Genomic DNA, 22,406 nt, shown 5'->3' on the forward strand with positions numbered 1-22,406 from the left:
TGGTGTTTGGCAGTGGGTCGGCATTTGTTTTTACTCCCCTCTCACCAGACTGTTTGCTGTCAGACACCTTGCCATATGTATATGGAATGTTTTTCTAGTTCCTAGCCATTTTGTAGGAGTTTTTAAATTATATTTTTTGGTTGTTTCAATGGGCAGTTAGGAGAAGGAGGAAGTCAGATGTTTTCAGTTGCCATGTTCATATAGGAAACTACAGATTATTTTAATACTTTTACAAAATTGTATTATTTCAAGACTTATTGAGATGTTGGTCAAGTCTTATGCTGTAATAATACATATATAGAAGGCAGTAGTTTAAATAGCACATTTAAAACCAGTAATCTGGGCTGGACGTTGTGGCACACACCTATAATCTCAACACTTTGGGAGGCCAAGGCGAGTGGATCGCTTGAGCTCAGAAGTTCAACACCAGCCTGGGCGACATGGCAAAACCTCATCTATGCAGAAAAATACAAAAATTAGCGGACTGTGATGGTGTATACCTGTAGTCCCTGTTACTTGGGAGGCTGACGTGGGAGGATTACTTGAGCCCAGGAGGTTGAGGCTGCAGTGAGCTGAGATCACGCCACTGCACTCCAGCCTGGGCGACAGCGAGACCCTGTCTCAAAATAAATAAGTAAAACCAGCAATCTTTGTTGGTGGGTAGAGATTGGACTGTAGTAAAAAGAGCATTAGCTCATAGGTTGGAGGATTACAATTGTAATAAAATTTTTCTTTTTTTATGTTGAGACGTTCACAACATGCCAACATTTTTTGTCCATACGTGGCAACCTTAGTATAAATTGCTGTCAGATATCATGTTTGTGTATTAGTCAAGAGTTCTCCAGAGATGCAGAACCAGAAAGATACATACACAGTCATACCTTGTTTAACGATGGGAATACGTTCTGAGAAATGAGTCATGAGGTTATTTTGTCATTGTGTGAACATCAGAGTGTACTTACACAAACCTAGATGGTAAACCTGTTACACACTTTGACTATATGGTATAGCCTGTTGCTTCTAGGCTACCTGTATAGCGTATTACTGTACTGAATAGTGTATGCAAATGTAACACAGTGATGAGTATTTGTGTATCTAAATGTAGAAAAGATGCAGCAAAATTACAGTATTAAAATCTCATGGGACCACATTTGTTTATTAGGTTCATTGTTGGCCAAAACATAATTATGCAGCATGTGACTATATATAGATTGATTGATAGATACATAAATACATGAGAGGGGATTTATTAGGGGAATTGACTGATGTGATTATGGGGGCTGAGAAATCCTGTAAGAGGTTGTCTGCAAACTAGAGACCCTGGGATGCTGGTAGTATGATTCAGTCCAAGTCCAAACGCCTCAGAACCAGAGAACCCAATGGTCCAATTCTCAGTCTGAGGTTAAAGGCCTGGCTAAAGCAGGGCTGCTGGGCTAAGTCCTGGAGTCCTAAGGCTAGAGAGCCTGGAGTTCTGATGCCCAAGGGCAGGAGGAAGAGAGTATCCTTGCTCCAAGAGAGAGGCAGGGGAAATCCTTTTCTCTCCTTTTTTGTTCTGTCAAGGCCCCTGGCCGGTTGGATGGTGCCCACCCACACTGAGGCAAATCTGCCCCACTCAGTCTACTGACTCACATCCTGGTCTCTGGAAACACCCTCACAGACAAACCCAGAAGTAATGTTTTACTGGTTTTCTAGGTATTCCTTAATCCAGTCAAGTTGATACCTAAAATTAACCATCACAGATTGCTTCCCCATGCAACAAGTTGAACATAATTGAAGACATAGTAGACTCTCTAGAGAAACTTAAAATTTGAGGGCAAATAACAAACCCCAAACTACCTAAAATACAAACTCCTCTAATGTCATATTGTATATGCCATACATTAAATACAAAAAAGATTGACATTCAGCTTTATTTAAGTTACCAAGCTTAAGTAAGGGCTAAGTGGATTTCTTAATAAGATGGTCTCTTTTATCCTTACTGTTATGCCATTTTTTTGACTTACAAAAATGTTCCCAATGAAGCTTTTGAACCCCTTGTATTTGAAGTTGAAACTAGTGAAAACACATGAAAACTCGAGTAGCACAGAAGAGGTGTCAAATGTGAAATAGGACATAAGCAGTGGAAATACTGAGTTTCCATCTCCTAGGCACCTAAAATCTTCTGATACCCACAAACAGAAAAAGTATGTATTACATTTTAATAATCCTATTCTCAAGGTCTAAGTGAGGCATTATTAGAGAAGGAAAAGCTGTCTGTTATGTTTTCACAACCATTTTGACTCCTGAGTCACATATTAGAGTATCTTACGAGATTAGACAGTTTGATTTCCTACCTCTTCATATATTCCATTTCCCCACTCTTGCCCTAGTCCCTGAAGGAGAACTGAACACATGATTTAGTAATACTATTTTCTTTTTAATCAACTCATATAATTCTTTCTACACCCAGCCTGGGCAACATGGCGAAACCTCATCTCTACAAAAAATACAGAACATTAGTTGGGTATGGTGGCGCATGCCTGTAGTCCCTGCTGCTCTCAGGAGGCTGAGGTGGGAGGATCACCTGAGCCTGGGGAGGTCAAGCCTGCAGTGAGCCGTGATGGTGCCACTGCACTGCAGCCTGAGCGACAGAGTGAGACCCTGTCATCAATCTTTTCTTTCTTTCTCTTTCTCTGTTTCTTTCTTCCTTTCTTCCTTTCCTTCCTTCTTTCGTTTCTTTCTCCTCCCTCCCTCCCTCCTTCTTTTCTTTTTTTTCCTTCCTTCCTGCCTTCTTTTCTTTTTTTTCTTTTCTTTTCTCTTAACAAAGCAGTGAGTTAAAACCTGACTGTTGGATTGTAGAGCCTTCAATTAGTGTCTAGTTCATTCTCCTAGAAAGACAAGTGCTCTGCTTGGCTAGTCATTCTGAAATCATCTGTAAGCCCCATCTTAGTTTAAGAATAGCCATCAGATAATTCTTCTCAGCCTTTTCTCCTGGTTTCCTGACAGTTCCAGTTACTTTTTCAGCTTTTCTTCTTTTAGGGCCCTAAAAACCCTTCATGAGGCCTTCATCTTGTGTTACCTTTTCTTTGTAATACTAAAGTTTTATGACAAACATCCCATTCTGGATTCACATTTTACTGTATTAGTCATGGCATGTAAAACAATTCAATAATTGGTACCCTTCTGATTAATTTATTATAGATCTCTTAATATGTAATTCAACTTTTAATGATTCCCTCAGTAAAGGATTTCTAAAACAGTAAAGTTTGTAGGTATTTAGATTAATTGAAGTTTAAAGCTGAGACCTTTGGATAGACATTATGGATGAGGAGCTTAATGTGATTTATACTATGTTTTGTTTAGCTTATCTGATTTTGTCTATTCATACATATATATATATATAAAGCACAAAATTAAAAACATGTAATTTTTCTAATAATACAGTTTGATATATTAATGACTGAACCTTCAGTATTCAGATTCCTGTCTCAACAATATATTGTTATGTCCCATACGTGGTAATCACATAGAGTAATAGTGGTAGCTGTGATTTATATGGCACTTTAAAGGATATTTTTACATATATTTTCTCATTTTATCTTCACAACAACCTTGTGAAAGACATAGGGGAAGTACTAATTTTTCCCCCCATTTTACAGATGAAGGAACTGAGACACAGAGGTTGAGACTTGTCTAAAGTAACATGACCAGTAAGTGCTTGAATTAATGCAGGTAGGTAGTGATGGGTATGTTCTAATCTGCCAAGGGCTTTTCCTTGCTGTCATCTGGCTTGAGTTCTGAGGATATAAATTCATATAGCCAAAATGGTAGGGAACCAGAAAGGTAATGAGTAGATGGACTTTAGGACTACACTAGGGAAATGGTGCTGCTGTTCTTTTTAATTTCTTCCTTTTTGTTCTTTTTGTTTGGTTTCTAACTTGTTAGTAATGATAAGCAGATACCGTCTTTGGTTGTTTCCGTTAGATGAATGAAGCTTTTGTTTTAATTGTAGATTATCCCTGAGGAACTAAGGAAATAGAAAATCTGGAGAGAAGTCTGTTGGGATTCTCACAGGGAATAGCTATTAGATCAACTAAGCAAATGAAAAAGTTAATAGTATATGGATAAACCACATGTGTGTAATTGGAACTTCTTAGGATTCTAAGATTTTTAAAATCTTGTTTAAAAACTGTATTATCACCTTAATATAAAAATCTTAGCGCTTGAGCGTACTTACCCAACTGTGGTTTTCTTTAGATGAGGAAACTGAGGTCCAGAGAAGTTGAAGTTTTCCCAAGGTCACACAGCAGAGCTGGAACTAGAGCTTGCATTTCCTGACTTCCAGATTAGTGTTATTTTTACTTCAAACTATTACTTCTTGGTAAGCTGTTCTTAAAATACTTAAAAAGTCTTTTGTATATTTAATTTATGTTTTTGATTAACATTCCTACTTTGTGCCAAAATGAACTTACAGATACGAATTTACTATTATTTTTGTGATGAGAATTTCAATTCTTTGTTTAATTTTAGGTGAGTTATTGTGGGAAAAATCCTGTATATTGAAGATGTCTCTACACAGTATCGTTTCCTGTTTAAATTACAGATAACTTCAAGAGTTTTCAGAAAAAAAGAAATTGGGACTTTTTTGGTTAAATCATGCCATCTGAACAGAAACAGTTATTTTGTGATGAAAAACAAACTACTTTAAAAAAAGATTATGATGTGAAAAATGAGATAGTTGATAGGTCGGCACCTAAACCAAAAATTTCAGGAAGTATTCATTATGCACTAAAAAATGTGAAAATTGATTTGCCAAAAATAAATATTCCAAATGAAGTCCTATTGAAACATGAAGTTGACAAATACAGAAAATTATTTCAGAGTAAACAGCAGACTGCAAGAAAATCTATCAGTATAAAGACTGTAAGCTGTGTAGAGGAGTGTACATTGCTTCATAAGTCTGAGAGAGCTGAAGAAGAGGGTGTAAAAATGTCTGCAAAAATACTCAATTTCAGCTGTTTAAAATGCCGAGACAACACTCGATATAGCCCAAATGATTTGCAGAAACACTTTCAAATGTGGCACCATGGCGAATTACCTTCATATCCTTGTGAAATGTGCAACTTTTCAGCAAATGACTTTCAGGTATTTAAACAACACAGACGAACCCATAGAAGCACTTTAGTAAAATGTGACATTTGTAACAATGAGAGTGTATATACTTTACTGAACTTGACAAAGCATTTCACATCCACACATTGTGTTAATGGTAATTTTCAATGTGAAAAGTGTAAGTTCTCCACCCAGGATGTTGGCACATTTGTTCAGCACATTCATAGACATAATGAAATTCATTATAAGTGTGGTAAATGTCATCATGTATGTTTTACCAAAGGAGAGCTTCAGAAGCACCTTCATATTCATTCTGGTACTTTTCCCTTCACTTGTCAATATTGTAGCTATGGTGCCACCAGGAGAGAACACCTTGTAAGACATGTTATAACTTTGCACAAAGAACATTTATATGCAAAAGAAAAACTGGAAAAAGACAAATATGAAAAAAGAATGGCAAAGACTTCTGCAGGACTTAAGCTAATACTGAAAAGATATAAAATAGGTGCATCAAGGAAGACGTTCTGGAAACGTAAGAAAATTAACAGTGGAAGTGACAGAAGTATAGAAAAGAACACTCAAGTGCTTAAGAAAATGAACAAAACACAGACTAAATCTGAAGACCAGAGCCATGTTGTTCAAGAGCATTTAAGTGAAGAAAAGGATGAAAGACTACACTGTGAGAATAATGATAAAGCCCCTGAATCAGAGTCAGAGAAGCCAACTCCTCTGTCCACTGGGCAAGGTAATAGAGCTGAAGAGGGACCAAACGCTAGTTCAGGTTTCATGAAGACTGCTGTACTAGGACCTACACTGAAAAATGTAATGATGAAAAATAATAAACTAGCAGTTTCCCCTAACTATAATGCTACGTTTATGGGCTTCAAGATGATGGATGGAAAACAGCATATTGTATTAAAATTGGTGCCTATCAAACAAAATGTATGTTCACCAGGCTCACAGTCAGGTGCTGCAAAGGACGGTACTGCTAATTTGCAGCCCCAGACTTTGGACACTAATGGATTTTTAACAGGAGTAACAACTGAGTTAAATGACACAGTTTATATGAAAGCAGCTACTCCATTTTCATGTTCATCTTCTATACTTTCAGGGAAAGCAAGTTCAGAAAAAGAAATGACTTTGATATCTCAAAGGAATAATATGCTTCAAACAATGGATTATGAGAAAAGTGTATCTTCTTTGTCAGCAACATCAGAATTGGTTACAGCATCAGTGAATTTGACCACAAAATTTGAAACAAGAGATAATGTTGACTTCTGGGGAAATCATCTCACTCAGAGTCACCCCGAGGTATTAGGTACCACCATTAAAAGTCCAGATAAAGTCAACTGTGTTGCCAAACCAAATGCATACAACAGTGGAGATATGCATAATTATTGCATTAATTATGGCAACTGTGAGTTACCTGTTGAATCCTCCAACCAAGGATCATTACCTTTTCATAATTACTCAAAAGTGAATAATTCTAATAAACGTCGTAGGTTTTCAGGAACAGCAGTGTATGAAAACCCTCAAAGAGAATCTTCATCCAGCAAAACAGTTGTCCAACAACCAATTAGTGAATCATTTTTATCACTAGTGAGGCAGGAGAGCTCAAAACCAGATAGCCTATTAGCATCTATTAGCCTTTTAAATGATAAAGATGGAACTTTAAAAGCAAAATCTGAAATTGAAGAACAGTATGTTTTAGAAAAAGGACAAAACATTGATGGACAAAACCTGTACAGTAATGAAAATCAAAATTTAGAGTGTGCGACTGAAAAATCTAAATGGGAAGACTTTTCTAATGTCGATTCACCTATGATGCCTAGAATCACATCTGTTTTCTCTCTCCAGAGCCAACAGGCATCAGAATTTCTGCCACCTGAAGTAAACCAATTGCTTCAGGATGTATTGAAAATAAAACCTGATGTAAAACAAGACTCTAGTAACACTCCAAATAAAGGCTTGCCACTTCATTGTGACCAGTCATTTCAAAAACACGAGAGAGAAGGCAAAATTGTTGAATCTTCGAAAGATTTCAAAGTGCAAGGCATCTTCCCAGTTCCACCTGGCAGTGTGGGTATTAATGTGCCTACAAATGATTTGAATTTGAAATTTGGAAAAGAAAAACAAGTGTCATCAATACCACAAGATGTGAGAGATTCAGAGAAGATGCCTAGAATTTCAGGTTTTGGCACATTACTTAAGACTCAGTCAGATGCGATAATAACACAGCAGCTTGTAAAAGACAAACTACGAGCCACCACACAAAATTTAGGTTCTTTTTATATGCAGAGTCCACTTTTAAATTCAGAACAAAAAAAAACTATAATTGTTCAGACTTCAAAAGGATTCTTAATACCATTGAACATTACTAACAAGCCTGGGCTACCAGTTATTCCTGGAAATGCACTTCCATTGGTTAATTCACAAGGTATCCCTGCTTCTCTTTTTGTAAACAAGAAACCTGGGATGGTTTTAACACTTAATAATGGGAAACTTGAAGGTGTTTCCGCTGTCAAAACCGAGGGTGCCCCAGCTCGTGGAACTGTGACTAAGGAGCCTTGCAAAACACCTATTTTGAAGGTAGAACCAAACAATAATTGTCTTACACCTGGACTTTGTTCCAGCATTGGCAGTTGTTTGAGCATGAAAAGTAGCTCAGAAAATACTTTGCCATTAAAAGGCCCTTACATTTTGAAACCAACGAGTTCTGTGAAAGCTGTTCTTATTCCTAACATGCTATCTGAGCAACAGAGCACTAAGTTGAATATCTCCGATTCAGTAAAACAGCAGAATGAGATTTTTCCAAAACCACCTCTTTATACCTTCTTGCCTGATGGCAAACAAGCTGTTTTTTTAAAGTGTGTGATGCCAAATAAAACTGAGCTGCTTAAGCCCAAATTAGTCCAAAATAGTACTTATCAAAATATACAGCCAAAGAAACCTGAAGGAACACCACAAAGAATATTGCTGAAAATTTTTAACCCTGTTTTAAATGTGACTGCTGCTAATAATCTGTCAGTAAGCAACTCTGCATCCTCATTGCAAAAAGACAACGTACCATCTAATCAGATTATAGGAGGAGAGCAGAAAGAGCCAGAATCTAGAGATGCCTTACCCTTCTTACTAGATGACTTAATGCCAGCAAATGAAATTGTGATAACTTCTACTGCAACATGCCCAGAATCTTCTGAGGAACCAATATGTGTCAGTGACTGTTCAGAGTCCAGGGTATTAAGGTGTAAAACAAATTGTAGAATTGAGAGGAACTTCAATAGAAAAAAGACTTCCAAAAAAATTTTTTCAAAAACAAAAACTCATGGAAGTAAAGACTCTGAAACTGCCTTTGTATCTAGAAACAGAAACTGTAAACGAAAGTGTAGGGATAGTTACCAAGAACCTCCAAGAAGAAAAGCAACATTGCATAGAAAGTGTAAAGAAAAGGCAAAACCTGAAGATGTCCGTGAAACATTTGGATTTAGCAGACCTAGGCTTTCAAAAGATTCCATCAGAACTTTGCGGCTTTTCCCTTTTAGTTCTAAACAGCTTGTGAAATGTCCTAGGAGAAACCAACCAGTTGTAGTTTTGAATCATCCTGACGCAGATGCACCAGAAGTAGTAAGTGTAATGAAAACTATTGCTAAATTTAATGGACATGTACTTAAGGTTTCATTGTCAAAAAGAACTATAAATGCTTTACTGAAACCAGTTTGTTATAACCCTCCTAAAACAACTTATGATGATTTTTCCAAGAGGCACAAAACATTTAAACCTGTTAGTTCTGTGAAAGAAAGATTTGTGCTAAAATTAACACTCAAAAAGACAAGCAAAAACAATTACCAGATTGTGAAGACTACCTCTGAAAATATTTTGAAGGCTAAATTTAACTGTTGGTTTTGTGGTAGAGTATTTGACAATCAGGATACTTGGGCTGGTCATGGGCAGAGACATTTAATGGAAGCTACTCGGGATTGGAACATGTTAGAATAGTTTACCATAATTACCAAGGAAAAGAAAAGTAAAATTACCTTAGAAGAAAACAACGGGTTCAGTTACCATAATGCAGACATTTTCTACTTCAGTATAGTACCTGAAATCGAACATTTTAAAAGTTGATTGTATTTCTGTGGAAGAGTAAAAGTTGTATGTATGATATTTGAAAATGCTATCCCTGCACTCAAAAGTTTTGAAAGAAACTAATCACAGCACAGAAGTACCTTGATTTAATTTTTTAAACGTGTTCTCGGGAAGTTAGGGCTAAAGAAAATTTTGATAAAACAATTTTCCCACTTTAGTTCTTTAGTGACTCTTAGTAGAGGGTAATGGCTGACACCCCCATTCCCTCTCTTCTTCCACCAGCCTTATGCATCTAAGTGTAGCTCCTCTGGAGATGGAGAGCTCTTTCATCGTAGAACTGAAGGAGTTTCTCACATTTGTGAAGATACTTTGAGAGAACCTGGGTAAAGAAGTCACTCTATATCTGCTAAATATAGTTATTTTGAAGGATATTAGGCTCCTTGAAAGTACATTTAACTCACTACAGTTACACCTCATACAATGCTTGAAGAGTTTTTGGCAAGTAAATTTTTTTTCCAGTTGAACTCTGTCACTTGTTAGAGATTGGGAACACTCTCCCAAGGTGATTTTCTTTTTCTAAGTGACTGTGTCAAATGTTGCAGTAGATGGGCAGCTTCAAGAGAAGAATTTAAACTCTTTGTCTCATTGAAAGTTTGGTTAAAGAACTTGAACATATTTCTAAATTTGATTATATTCTCTGATGATCCCTTTGCACAGAACTATGCTTATCTCATGTTTGTCCTCCATAAACAAATGGCCATTTTTTTCTTCTTGGTTCCCATCCCTTTAAAAAGAGTGGAACATAGGAGCACTTCCAAGGGAGTGGCTTTTCTTGAAAATTAAAATTGTTTACCAAAACAGTATTTTGAAGCAAGATCATATTTTTGTCTGTATTCACTTTATTATTTGAACATGTCCAAATTAGGACAAAGCATTTCTGTTAGCTGCTTCTCAGTGTGACTGACAACCCAAAACATATATACAGATTGTTGGCATTTGCAAAAGGAAGCATCAATAGTGGACCCAGAGGCAGTGCATAAAACCTTAGGATAGATTCCTAAGGGACATGCCCAACAGAGTTTTAAAATGGATGTTTTCATGATGACAACAGAATCATAGATTTAGATTTTTCACCTTGTAAGTTTGGATCAAATTTTGCTGGTTCTTTGGATAATGGAGTTCTTGTGTTAACAAATTACGTGCTATATGATTTTTTGTTACATTGTTACAAGTGTTAATGACATTTTCATTAATGGATGAAAACTTCAGGGCTTCTTTTCTGTATATAACAAATTAAGTCTGTACATATTTTTGTACCTTTTATGTAAATTTTGCACAGAAATTTTTGGCATAAGTTTATTTTCTTTCAGTTTAGTTCAGTGCATGCACTAATAAAACTGGTTGTTTAATTTAAAAGGAATATATAAGACTTTACCCATGTTATTTTCTTGGTTTTTATTTCAGATGTAGATTTTGTTTTTGAGGTAAATTCGTTCTTCAGGGATTGAACACTATTGTTAGCAAGTGCCTAAAAAAGATGTGAAACAGTTTACATATGTCAACTGTAACAGTAGGTCCCAAATGGGCCCATTCCCCTAATAGTTTTATTTTTAAAGAAAGCCATACATAGAATGCTTCAAGCTATCTTGCTATGCACATTATACTTGTACTGTTTTGTGCAGTTTGTCTACTTTCTTAGTGAAGTATTTTTTGTATAAAATGTTACAATTGTGTTTCTTAAATTGAGCCTAAGAATGGAGTTAATTGGAAATATACAGTATATATTAATAATGTACATGGTGTTTAAAGAATGGTAAGCATTGTTAATTTCTGTAATGAACATTTTCAATTAAATTTATCTTGTTTGTGTTTACACAATAATTTTTTTACTGTGCTAAAATCTGATGGAAATTTTGTTCTCTAGGAAATACAGATTTTAAAGTGTATGTGTTTTTTCAATGCTAGTTAACTCTACAAGATAGATAAAAGTGTGGGATTTTTTTTCTTCCCAAAATCATAGATGATATATTGTTTAAGAAAGGTAACATATACCATAATTTTACTATGGTTATGCTGGCAAGGTGAGCCATAGAGAGGCTTATAGTCTTCAGTACCCTAACAGCAATAAAATTAAAATGCTCTGTTTGTTACATATAGATCTGTTATGAGACATCACCTGCTGTAAATAGCAAGGAGAGAGAAGGAACTTTCCTGCTAATATTCGCAGCACTATAACATTACATTTCAGAATAGCCATATCAGGAAAATAATGTCGAGATATGTACTTCTTGCCTTTAAGTTTTAACAGCCATTTAAAGTAAGCTTTGTGCTCCAGATATTCTAGTTGGAACTTTTTCTGATTTTGTTAACTTAAGTTATTCTGAGGGAGGCAGACCTGCTTAGAGTTTCATTATTGCCATTGCAGAAAATCCAAAACAAAAGCCTGTATCCTTTATTTTTTGTGTGTGGCTTTCCAAAGAGGGCTTTCCAAAATATGATTTTCAGTAGTTCGAGGTTCTTATTACAATTGAAGAGTTAGTTTTAGTTTTGCAGTTGAATTTCTGTGTGAGGAATTTGTTTTATTTTTTCTAGTTTGTCCATCTCCACTGAAATGGGTTTCTTACTATTTGGCAAGTACTTAAAAAACATAATTCAGTTTTCAAAGAATTTATCTTGCTAAGTATTCAGTAACACAAATTGAAATGTAATAGTTTTTTTAATGGAAAATATTTTCATTGGGGGGTTAGCAAATTTTTTCAATAAAGGGTCAGATAAATAAGCTTCGTAGGCCTTCTAGTTTCTGTCCTAACTACTCAATTCTCATAATGCAGAAAAAAACCATAGACAATATGTAAATGAATTAGTGTGGCTATGTTTTAATAAAACAATTTATAAAAACAGGAAGTGGGCTGAATTTGGCCCACCAGACATAGTTTACTGACTGTTGCTTGAATTCCCTAGAGTCTGCTTTCAGAATGGGATTTTTATTTAAAAAAACAAGCTTGATAAGTTTCGTGATGTACCTCACCTGTGTAAAAGAGCTACAAAGTACGAACTAAAATATGTATATAAAGTTTCTAGTATAGATGTATTTGTATAACAGTGAAGAGACTGTAAATGTAATGAAAATGGTTAGTGGGTAAAATAGGTCATTTGTGTGCTAAGAGTAGTGCAACTTATGAAGGGATTAAAAATGAGATAGAGCAGAAATGCTGTGAGAATTTATGTCCAGGTTAGATGGGAAAAGGACTTAGATATTCTTTCAGTGATTTGAAATAGCTGTTAAGAAAAAGTAATAGAAGTTCTTGGGGTGGGAGAAAATGGAGGTGAATTAAAAACAGAATATTATATACTAATTCCATACAGCTTATCTTGATTTTTTAAAAATAAGATTCCTTTTCACCATTGACATCTACTTCCTTCCTTAACTTTCTTAACAGAGCCATTTGGGGCGTTGGCTCTGTTCTTTGCCTTAGCAACTTGTTAGGATCCTTGCTCTCAGCATACTACCTTGACCCATTGGGGATCTCATCTAGCAAAACTTACTGGGGGGATTTTTCAGGGTGGTATTTGTTGCTAGTTAGCAGAGTATGGCATTAGTGGAAACTTTTTCCTGTAATGGAGAGTTGAAATGGTTGAGTTTGATGTTTATTAATTTATGTATGCCTCTCTTAATAACTGGAGAATTGAGAAGTAATTAGTATCTTGGAGGAAGTATTTCATGAAGTCATCTTTGAGGTGCTTTTTGACTAGTTTAACAAAGCTTCTGTTAATGCCTCCAAATTTAGGAATCTTTTTAAAACGAGAATAATTGTTACAAGAGTGGAAACTTTCAAGTAAATAGTGTGGAAAAAATATAATGTACATCAATTTTAGAAGTCATGAATTTAGGAGATGCCAAGAATGTGCTTAATTTAAATACTTTTTCCTAGTAAAGACATTTCTAATGTGTTAAAATAAGAATTTTTCCATATACTTCAAAGTGCTTAAACCAAAAGTAAGGGTTATGTTTATGTGGCAACTCATGAAATACATCTTTCAATTAAGGAGTGAAATGTTGCCTGCGATCATCAATTACATCATAAGCTATTGCTAATGTCAAAGAATAGGAAAGCAAAATGAAAGTTAAATTTGGGAGAGAGACCAAAATACTCTTGTAGATGACTTGCTTTTAATATCTTGGAAGTTTAAAGGAGTACACTGAAAATTAGTTACTTTCCTGAACAATTAACAGTAATCAACTGGGGAACAATAAAAGAAGACCCATTTATTTATTTTTCGAGATGGAGTCTCACTCTGTTCCCCAGGCTGGAGTGCAGTGGCACAGTCTTGGCTCACTGCAGCCTCTGCCTCCCGGGTTCAAGTACCGCTCCTGTAGTGGGATTACAGGTGCCCACCACGATACCCAGCTAATTTTCATATTTTTAGTAGCGATGGGGTTTCACCATGTTGGCTAGGCTGGTCTTAAACTCCTGACCTCAAGTGATTCACCTGCCTTGGCCTCCCAAAGTCTGGGATTATAGGCATGAGCCACCATGCCCAGCCAGTAAGACCCGTCTATAATAAGAGGCACAAAATAATACAAGCCTGCCAAAAAACAACAACAACCAAAAAAAAAAAAAAAAAAACAGACACCAAACCAAACCTGTAAGATATAACTGGGAGATACATAGTATTTCTGAGTGGAAGACTAAATATACCTGCTTAGCAGATTACATTTTTAGAACTTTGTCCCCCACCCCTACCCCCATTACCCTCTTCCTCTAACAGAGCTGCTTTACAGGGAGGATTGTGGTTTGGGCATTCACTGAAGAGCTGATTTACCATTCTTTCTATCCTCCAGCTGTTCCATAGCATAAAGGTACAGAGGTTCTGTTCAGTGGAGGGTTGGAGTAAGCTTCAAAAACTGACAACACATTATTACAAGAGGCCTGAATTAGGGTTTTTCAGAGATACAGAACCAATATGAGGGCATGTCTTGAGGGAATTAGGTTATGTAATTATGGAGGCTAGGAAGTCCCACACTAGGCTGTCTGCAAGCTAGAGACGTAGTGATGGTGGTAGCATGACTCAGTCGAAGTCCAGAAGCCTCAGAACCAGGAAAACTGGTGGTGTAACTCTCAGACTGAGATAGAAGGCCTGAGAACCAAGGGGCCACGGGTGTAAGTCCTCGAATCCAAAGGCCTGAAACCCTGGAGTTCTGATGTCCAAGGGCATGAAAATAAAGCTGTCTCAGCTCCTGGGGTATGGCGTTAGGCGTGGGGGGAGGAAGTTAGTGGAGAGAGAATTAGCTTTTTCTCTTTTCCTTCTGTCCAGGCTCCTAGCTGTTTGGATTGTGCGTCAATCACATTGTGGGCAAATCTTCCCCATTCAGTGTAATGGCTCACATACCAGTCTCTGAAAACACCCTCACAGACACATTCAGAAATAATGTTTTACCAGTTGTCTAGGTATTCCTTAATGCATTCAAGTTGACACTGAAAATTAACTGTCACAGGGCCTGACTTTATTTGTAACAGACTTCAGAGTATTGTAGAAAACAGTAGAGCAATCAGTAACAGTGGAGGTTCAACAGTTGCCAGGTCATTCCAATAGATAACCAGAAGCTTAAAGAAAGGATCAGGGAGGCCAGGCACGGTGGCTCAGTCTGTAATCCCAGCACTCTGGGAGGCCGAGACGGGCGGATCACAAGGTCAGGAGATCGAGACCATCCTGGCTAACACGGTGAAACTGCGTCCCTCCTAAAAATACAAAAAAATAGCCAGGCATGGCAGCGTGCACCTGTAGTCCCACTACTCGAGAGTCTGAGGCAAGAGGATGGTGTGAACCCGGGAGGCGGAACTTGCAGTGAGCCGAGATCGCACCGCTGCACTCCAGCCTAGGCGACAGAGCGAGACTCTGTCTCAAAAAGAAAGAAAGGATCAGGGAAAGAGACAACCTAGATAAAACTACAGACATCCCTTGTGATCAGGAAGACTGTGCATGCTGAAGGCTGCCATCTCAGAGGACTGACCAGAGAGAACTTCTAAACTACAAGTTCCTGGCCAAATGAAGGGCAAACTTGTAAACTCCTTAAGTAGTGAAAGCAGTCTTCAAGCCATACATTAATTAGTCAAGCCAAGTCACTAAAGGAAGATGATCAGTATGCAGAGATCTGTGTTACCTAAAATGTCCAGTTTCAACACAAAAATTGAGATATGCAAAGAAACAGAAAAGTATGTGTCCTATATGACAGAGAAATGTAGGAAATATAAAGTTTTGAGGGATACCAAATTTAGGATAAATGCTAAGCAGCTGTTACAAATGTATGTTCAAAAGGCTGAGTGCAGTGGTTCATGCCTGTAATGCCAGCAGTTTGGGAGGCTGAGGTGGGTGGATCACTTGAGGCCAGGAGTTTGAGACCAGCCTGGCCAAAATGGTGAAACCCCGTCTCTACTAAAAATAAATTGGCCAAGCGTGGTGGGCGCCTGTAGTCCCAGCTACTCAGGAGGCTGAGGCAGGAGAATCGCTTGAACTCAGGAGGCAGAGGTTGCAGTGAGCCGAGATTGCGCCATTGCTGTCCAGCCTGGGAGGCAGCGAGACTCCACCTCAAAATAAATAAGTAAACCCAAAGAACTAAAGGAAGCCAGATGTGAAGAATTAAGGAAAGTATTCTAATGTCTCACCAAGTAGAGAACATAGAGATAGAAATTTTTTTTAAAGAACTAAATGAAAATTCTGGAGTTGAAAAGTACAATAACTACAATTTTAAAAGTTACTAGAAAGGCTCAATACTAGATTTGAGATGGCAGAAGAAAGAATCAGCAAACCTGCAGATTGATAGAGGATATGCAATCTGAAACAAAAAGTTTGAAGAAAAAGTGTTCTTCACACTATGTACACAAAAATTAACTCAAAATGGATCATAGACCTAAATACAAGCAAAAACTGTAAAACTTACAAAAAATGTAAGTATTTGTGATAATTCTCTAGGCAAAGCTTTCATAGCTGTGACACCAAAAACAAAAAAGTGCAATAGATAATTTGTTTTAAAAGACAGCGTTTTTATTACAGGAGGTTGTAAAACAAGTCTGTTTTATCTGTTTCAGATTAATCTCAACTTAATTTCAGTAATGAAAAATTTGCTCTATATGCCTTCATTCTGCCCATGCTGTTATTGTCACAAACTACATCTTTATAATAATTATATGTCCATCAACATAGTTTTATAATTACGCAGTTTTAAAAATCAGGAGGGAAGAACAAGAGTTACGAACAGATATACATTGTCTTGCTGCTCCAAAATCTGCAATGTAAAAGGCCCCATGCACAAGGGCAATGTGCTAATTCTGTTGGAGTCATGAGTGAGAGGCCCAGAGGTTGCACCTCACTTGGCTGCTCACTGGGTCTTGGATGCAGGGTTCAACCACTTGGCCAGTGGGAATGGTGTGCTACGATCTGCTCCTTTATTTTATTTTTTGCTCACCACACGGGAATTGTGATGCACCCTTAAATAAAGCATTTGTGTTCCAAATTAAAAAAAAAATACATTGTCTTATGTTTATTTGTGCTGGTGAATATATTTACCTTTCCAGTGTTTTTTTTTTTTCATTCATGTGAGTTCGAGTTACTGTCTAGAGTTCTTTCATTTTAGCTTTATACTCCCTTTAGCTTTTTTTTTCTTGTAGAGCAATTCTGCTAGCAACAAACTCAGCTTTTGTCTATCTATGAATATCTTAATTTTTCTGTTTAAAAGAATAGCTTTGCTGGATATAGAATTTTTGGTTGACAGTTTTGTTTTCTTTTTAATTTTCCATTCAACACTTCTAATATGTCATCCCATTGCCATCTGGCCTCCGTGATTTCTGATGAGAAATCAGCTGTTAATTCTCCTGAGGACCTTTGGATGTGATGACTCACTTCTTTCTGTCTTGCTGCTTTCAAGATTCTCTTTTTGTCCTTGTCTTTCAACAGTTTGACTATGATGTGCCAGTATGCATATTTTTGAGTTTATGTTACTTGGAGATTCTGGAGCTTTGTAGAATGGTAGATTAATTTTTGTTAAATCTCATTTTTATTTCATTAAATTTGAGAGGTTTTCAGTTATTCAAATATTCTCCCTGATGAATTCTCTTTTTTTCTCTCTTTCTGAGACTCATCCTATGGGTATGCTGGTATTATTACTAACTTATCTATTTATTTTAGAGAGGCTGGTTCTTGCTCTGTTGCCCAGGCTGGAGTGCAGTGGTGCAGTCATAGCTCACTGCAGCATTGAACTCCTAGACTCAAGCATTCCTTCCACCACAACCTCCCAAATAGCCCAGCTAACTTTTAAAAAAATTTTTGTAGAGTTAGAATCTTACTGTGTTGCCCAGTCTGGTCTTGAACTCTTGGCCTCAAGGAATCCTCCTTCCTTGGCCTCCCAAAACACTGTGATTACAGGTGTGAGCCACTGTGTTTGGCCATATGCTGATATTCTTCATGGTATCATACACGTCTTTCAGGCTCTGTTCGTTTTTTGGTTTTCTTTCTGTTTCTCAGACTGTATGTCAACTGATCAATCTTAGAGTTCACAGATTCTTTGTTTTGCTAGCTTACATCTGCTGTTGAGCCCCTTTATTGAATTTTTATTTCAGTTACTGTGCTTTTCAACTGTAGAATTTCAATTTGGTTCTTTTAATAATTTCTATCCCTTTATTGATGTTCTCTATTTGGTTAAGCTGTAATTCTCTTTAGTTCTTTAAACATGGTTTCTTTTAGTTCTTTGAACATATTTAAGATAGCTGAGTTGAAGTCTTTGTTCAAAATGTACAGTGCCTTAGGGATAATTTCTACTGAATGCTTTTTTCTCTATGTATGGGTCATACTTTGCTCTGCATGTCTCATTTTTTTTGTTGTTGAAGAATTTAAAAGTATGAATTTTGTAATGTGACAACTGAAAATCAGATTCTCCCCTCCAACCTCTCAGGTTTGTTATTCTTACCGTGTTTTGTACTTGTTGTCTAGTGACTTTTCTGAACTGATTTTGTAATGCTTGTATTCTTTGCCATTTGTGGCCATGAAAGTCTTTGTTCTGTGAGTTTAATGGTCAGCTAATAAGTAGACAGAGATAAACACCTGGAATGAATAAATCTTCCAGTGTTTGCTAAGGGACTTGTGTGTTTTTGTGACACATCAACATTCAGCCAGGTGGCTTACAACTCTGCCTTCACCTTCAGCCTCCAGGTTGGCCATTGTGAGAGTTTAGTGCCTTCTCACATCTTTTCTAAGCACACGTACAGCCCTGGGCATGAGTGTGACCTTCTAGATTCTCAGGAGTATGTTAAAGCTTTACAAAGTCCCTATGGACATCTCATTTCCCAGGCTTTTCTTCCAAGCTTTTTGGTTAGTCTGTTGCCTGCCCCAGTTGTTATCTGTCACCCCAGGCAGCAGCAAATAAAGCATTTGGCTGCTAATATTTTAAACATTACCCCTAGTTAGCAACTTTAGCTCTGGACCAACTCCAAGTTAGGCAAAATAAAGACAGGCCTTCTGAGCTGGACTTCCAGGGAGCCACCAGACAGGTCAGTATAAATAGTTAAGGTATTTTGTGATTGAAGACTGTTCTTCCTCTAGTACTGGGAATGAGGGCTGTTATTTACAGTGCTGTTGCTGAGGTGAGGAGTGGAGAATGAGACTAGAGTAACTTAAAATACCACAAAGCTGTTGTTCTGAGATTCAGCCATTTTTCTTGGGTAAGCACTTCCTGGGATGCTAAAAGCTTTTGATTAGTTTAAAAAGTTCCAAAAAAGTTGATTGTGACAGTTTGTTTGCCAGACTTTTAATTGCTTTTATGTTAGGGCAGAATTTCAAAGTCTTTGCTATTTTCACTGACACCACATTATAGATAAATTTAACTTCATCGAAATTTGAAAAATATTGCTTCAATGGATATCATCAAGAAAGTGAAAAGACAACCCACAGATTGGGAAGAAATGTTGTATATCATACATCTGATTATGCATTTTAATTTAGAATAATGAACCCTTACAACTTAGGAGACGTAACCCAATTTAAAGTGGGCAAAAGATCTGAATAGCATTTCTCTAAAGAAGATATACAAATGGCCAAAAAGCACATGAAAAGATGCGCAACATCATTAGTCATTAGGGAAATGAAAACCAAAACCATGTGAGATACCACTAAAAAAAAAAAAACCCAGATGATGAGGCCAGGAAGAGTTTGGAACCCTCATACACTGTTGGTGGGAATGCAAAATGGTACAGCCATCTTGGAAAACAGTATGGGACTTCCTCAATAGGTTACATGTAATGTTACCCTGTGGCCCAGAGCTGCTTCTCCTAAGTATATACCCCAAATAATTTAAAACAGGTGTTCACACAAAAATTTATACAAGGATGTTAATAGCAGTATTATTCATAGTGGCCTTAAAAGTGGAAACAACCCAAAGTCCATCAACTGATGAATGCATAAATAAATGTGTATATCTATACAATTGAATATTATTCAATCATAAAAATAAATGAGATAGTAATTTATGCTACAACTTGGATGAATGTTGGAAGCATTAGGTTAAGTGAAAGAAGCCAGTAACAAAACCATGAGTCCATTCATATGAAATGTCAAGAATAGGCACATTTACAAAGAATGAAAGTAGATTAGTAGTGGTTGCTTAAAGCTAAAGGTGTTTAAAGGAAATACAGAGGGGACTGCTAAAGGACAAGGAGTGATAAAAATGTTCTAAAATTGTGATTGTTGTGTAATTCTGGGAATTCACTAAGAAACCATTGAAGTGTACATTTTATATGTGTGAATTATATGGTATGCAAATGATAGTAAGCACACATAGACACATGTATAATGTGGGACACCATTAAGGGCAACATATGTGTAATGAAAAATTTTTTAAGTAGTCAAAGAAATAATGACTAGAAACTTCCCAAGTTTGGTGAAAAACATATTTTCAGAAGCTCAACATACTCCAAGTAGGATAAATGCAAAGAGATTCAAAAGTAGACATGTTATTGTCAGAATGTTGAAAGACAAAAAAAAAATCTTGAAATTATCATAAGAAAAATGATGCATGGAACCCCCAATAAGATTAATAGCTGACTTCTCCCCAAAACCAAGAAGGCTAAAGGGAAGTGGATAACATATTCAAAGTTTTGAAATAGAAACAAAACTGTCTTTCAAAATTGAAGGCAAAATGGATATTTCAAATAAGCAAAATGAGAATTCATTTGTTGCAAACCTACCTTTCAGTAAATACTAAAAGTTCTTAAGACTGAAAGCAAATGATGTCGAGAATAATTTGAATTCACAGGAAAAAAGAAAGACATTACATGAAAGTAAGTAAGTATAAAAGAGAATATAATTGCATCTTTATTTTCCTTTCTCTTAAAAGGCAATCAAATAAAACATTATGCATATAATTGTATTTTGGGGCCAATAGCAGAAATGTTATAACAACACAAGGAAAGTAGATGGGAATAAAGCTATTTTGCAGTAAGGAAATGACACCAGAGAGTATCTCAAATCCACGGGAAGAAGTGAAAAGAACCATAATAGTAAATAAGAAGGCTCATATGAAAAACTCTATAAATATATACTTGTTCTTTTTAAATTACCTTTAAAAGACACAAAATTATTAATAAGTATAACAGTTTATTCTTGGGTTTGTAACATGTAAACCTATTGTGTGTAACAATAAGGTGGGGGAGGGAACAGAGCCATATAGTAGTAAAGTTTTGATATTTCACTGGAATTAAGTTTGTATTTATCTGAAATAGATTCTGATAAAGATGTATATTGTAAGCCCTAGAGCAACCACTAAGAAAATTCCTCAAAAATAAAACATCATTAAAGGGATTAAAATTTATTTTAAAATAGCCAAAGAAAACAGTAAAGGAGAAACAAATTAACAAAAAAGGAATGAAACCTATAAAAAACAAAAGCACACTGGTAGACATAAATCCAACTATATTAATATAACATTAAATGTGAATGGATTAAACAGTCCAATCAAAAGGCAGAAATTTTCAGACTGGATAAATAAGATTCATGTGCAGTAAACTCTCCATATCTGTGCGTTCTACATCTGCAGATTCAATCAATCATGGATCAAAAATGTAGTTAGGCTTATGATGATTGTGTCTGAGCATGTACAGACTTTTTTTCTTATTCCCTAAACAATACAGTATAACAACTATTTAGATAGCATTTGCATTGTATTAGGTATTATAAGTAATCTGGAGATTAAAATATACAGGAGGATATTTGTAGGTTATGTGTGAATACTATGCCATTTTACATAAGGGATTTGAACATCCATAATTTTAGTTTCCACAAGAGCTTCTAGAACCAGTCCCCCATGGAGGCTAAGAGACAACTGTTTATATTATGGAAATTGGCAACAGGTACAAACCAGGGCTTTTTACAACCCCTGACCAAGAGAGCTGATTTCACCAGCACCCTCTGTGGAGATCACAGTTCTAGTTTTTGTCCCATGAATCTGAACAAATCATTCTGTCTACAGGAGCTACACTTTAGACTCAAAGATATTAGTAGGTTGAAATTTTAAAAATGGAAAAACATGTTGTCTCAGTCATTTTGGGCTGCCATAACAAAATACCATAGACTGAGGGGATGAAACAACAAGAATTTATTTTCAAAAAACATTATTAACTATAAAGAGGGAAATTTTATAACAGTAAAAGTGTCAACTCATCAGGAAGCTATAACAATTTTAAACATATATGCACCTAATAACAGAACCACAAAATCCATGAAGCAAAAACTGACAGAATTGAAGGGAGAAGTAGACAAGTAAAGAATGATAGTTGGACACTTTGATACTCCACTTTGCATAAATGAATAAAATAACAACAAAAGATTGGCAAGGAAATAGAAAACTTGAACAGCACTACAAACTAGATCTACTACATCTATGAAATCCACTCCAAAACAGGAGAATAGATATGCTTTTCCAAAGAACATGGAACATTCTCCAGGATATACCATATAAAACAAGTCTCAGTGAATTTGAGAGGATGGGAATGATACAAAGTGTGTTCTCCAACCACAATAGAATTAAATTAGAACTTAAAAACAAAGGAAATTTTGAAAATTCATAAATATATGGCAATTGAACAATACTCATAAATAATCAATGAATCAAGTAACAAACTTTCTTGAGGTTAATAAAAGAAAAAACATAACCCACCAAATCTTGTGAGATGTGACTAAAGCAGTGC

The 22,406-nt window shown here is 36.2% G+C and overlaps 1 protein-coding gene across 53 annotated transcripts in view; it reads left to right on the forward strand.

Annotated features, from left to right (window-relative positions):
• ZNF518A (zinc finger protein 518A) overlaps nucleotides 1-22,406 on the forward strand; it is a 75,577-nt gene that overhangs the window by 21,973 nt on the left and 31,198 nt on the right. For 22 of the 53 annotated variants that reach the window (XM_047426046.1, XM_047426052.1, XM_047426064.1 and 19 more), the window contains 3 exons: nucleotides 3,639-3,689; nucleotides 4,237-4,360; nucleotides 4,510-12,074. The exons of 1 other annotated variant lie outside the window; for it this stretch is intronic. In XM_047426046.1, coding sequence (XP_047282002.1) covers nucleotides 4,636-9,087 — 4,452 coding nt within the window. In that variant the 5' untranslated portion in view covers nucleotides 3,639-3,689; nucleotides 4,237-4,360; nucleotides 4,510-4,635 and the 3' untranslated portion in view covers nucleotides 9,088-12,074. Of the gene's footprint in view, nucleotides 1-3,638; nucleotides 4,361-4,509; nucleotides 12,075-22,406 lie in introns of those variants that run through there. 30 more of the 53 variants (XM_047426062.1, XM_047426063.1, XM_047426049.1 and 27 more) reach the window with 7 other exon arrangements.

This window comes from Homo sapiens, chromosome 10, assembly GCF_000001405.40.
Source record: "Homo sapiens chromosome 10, GRCh38.p14 Primary Assembly".
NCBI classification, from domain to species: Eukaryota; Metazoa; Chordata; class Mammalia; order Primates; family Hominidae; genus Homo; species Homo sapiens.